At 32.3% G+C, this 1,540-nt stretch overlaps 1 annotated feature.

The window, feature by feature from the left end:
- Nucleotides 1,334–1,540: a silencer, noted in NCBI's record as "fragment chr4:181292383-181292589 (GRCh37/hg19 assembly coordinates)". NCBI's record gives its function as "represses an EF-1alpha promoter that drives an FKBP-Casp9 reporter gene in an ReSE screen in phorbol 12-myristate 13-acetate-treated (for megakaryocytic differentiation) K562 erythroleukemia cells {active_cell/tissue: K562(+PMA)}" and the evidence as "EXISTENCE:reporter gene assay evidence [ECO:0000049][PMID:32094911]".

Genomic DNA, 1,540 nt, shown 5'->3' on the forward strand with positions numbered 1-1,540 from the left:
TATTCTATCTGGCCTAGGACAAAGTTTGCTAAGAAGATGGAATTTTCAGACAAAATTAAAATATGATTTTATTTGTACTTTTAAATTTTCCTCCTCTTTCTTTTCCCTTTTCTTCGGATACTTGACTGTTGATTGTTCCTTAAGCTTGTAGCATATAAAAAGTCATGCTAATTCATAGATCACCTCTTTTAATATGAACATAGCAATGTGTTAATATTCTCTGTGTCACAGATTTCTTTTAATATTAGACATTTTAAATCTTGCTTTAATCTTTTCAGAATATTTCATTGCTAATGTAGCTTATCTTATGTATATTGTCATAGTCAATGAAAGATCCTGGAGTTCCATAAATATTTGCGGTATAATTCTTGGAGATAAAAAGCCTTGTTCTAATGAAGAGTTAACAATTGTTTGAAAACTTCCAAGAAAACAAAGTTTCCACTCAGAAGTAAAGTGACAATGAATGACACTACTTTCTTTAAAAAAATATTTCAAATGTAGATTTTTATGAACTTAATCACAAAATAAATAGGTGATTCTATCTGTATTTCTCTATATGACATCAGCAGCTAGTTTACTTAGTAGAGGTACTTTTGCAAACTTTTAAGTGGTTTTTTTATGTAGTAATAGTTATAAATCAAGTAGTTTATTATCATTTTTCATTTCACCTCTATAATGTTGCTACCAAATCATTAAGTAAAATTTTAATAATGTTTGGTGCAAAAAATAATTCAATTCAAATGCAACTTCCTAGGACTCTATTAGCTAAACAGTACCAAAAATAGTAAAATCTCCTTTCATCTCATAAAGGAAGATTCTCAGAGGATGTTGTCAGGTTGAATAAGAAGTAGACACTTTTATTTGGCAATTTTTTGAAAATAATTACAGTTTTTAATGTTCCCAAAACAGAATATTAATCAGTTGTGGATTAAAATGACCAAACCTGAGACCTATGTACAAATATTTCACATCTGTTTGCAGATTCTAATGATGACAATTCATAGCATGTTGACTGAAAATGCAGCTTCGGGGACTCTGTACTTAGTCATAAACATGAATTATATCAATCTGGACCGTGTGCCCGGGGAGCCAGTGAAGCAAACAAAACTGAGCAAAGAAATTCCTAAGAAAAGCTAAAGACACTGATATAATTAAAGATGTACCAAATTAACTGGCAAAGCCTTCACTAAAGATTTACATAATCTAATTCCATGATGTTAGATAGCTGAACAAAAACATGATGAATTTGGTTGTGAAGATATGACTAAATGATAGTATTGAAATGAATTCTCATATTAACTCAAATATGTATAGACACACATCCATGGAGTCAGTGCTCAGCTTTCTTGTCTGGAAATCCAGATTGTTGTTTTGAGTTTTTTTGAGATAGTCTTGCTCTGTCACCGAGGCTGGAGTGCAGTGGTACGATCTCTGCTCACTGCACCTCCACCTCCTGGGCTCAAGCACTTCTCCGACCTCAGCCTCTCAAGTAGTGAACTAGAGGCATGCACCATCACGCCCAGATAATTTTTTTTTCTTT

Source organism: Homo sapiens, chromosome 4 (assembly GCF_000001405.40).
Source record: "Homo sapiens chromosome 4, GRCh38.p14 Primary Assembly".
NCBI classification, from domain to species: domain Eukaryota; kingdom Metazoa; phylum Chordata; class Mammalia; order Primates; family Hominidae; genus Homo; species Homo sapiens.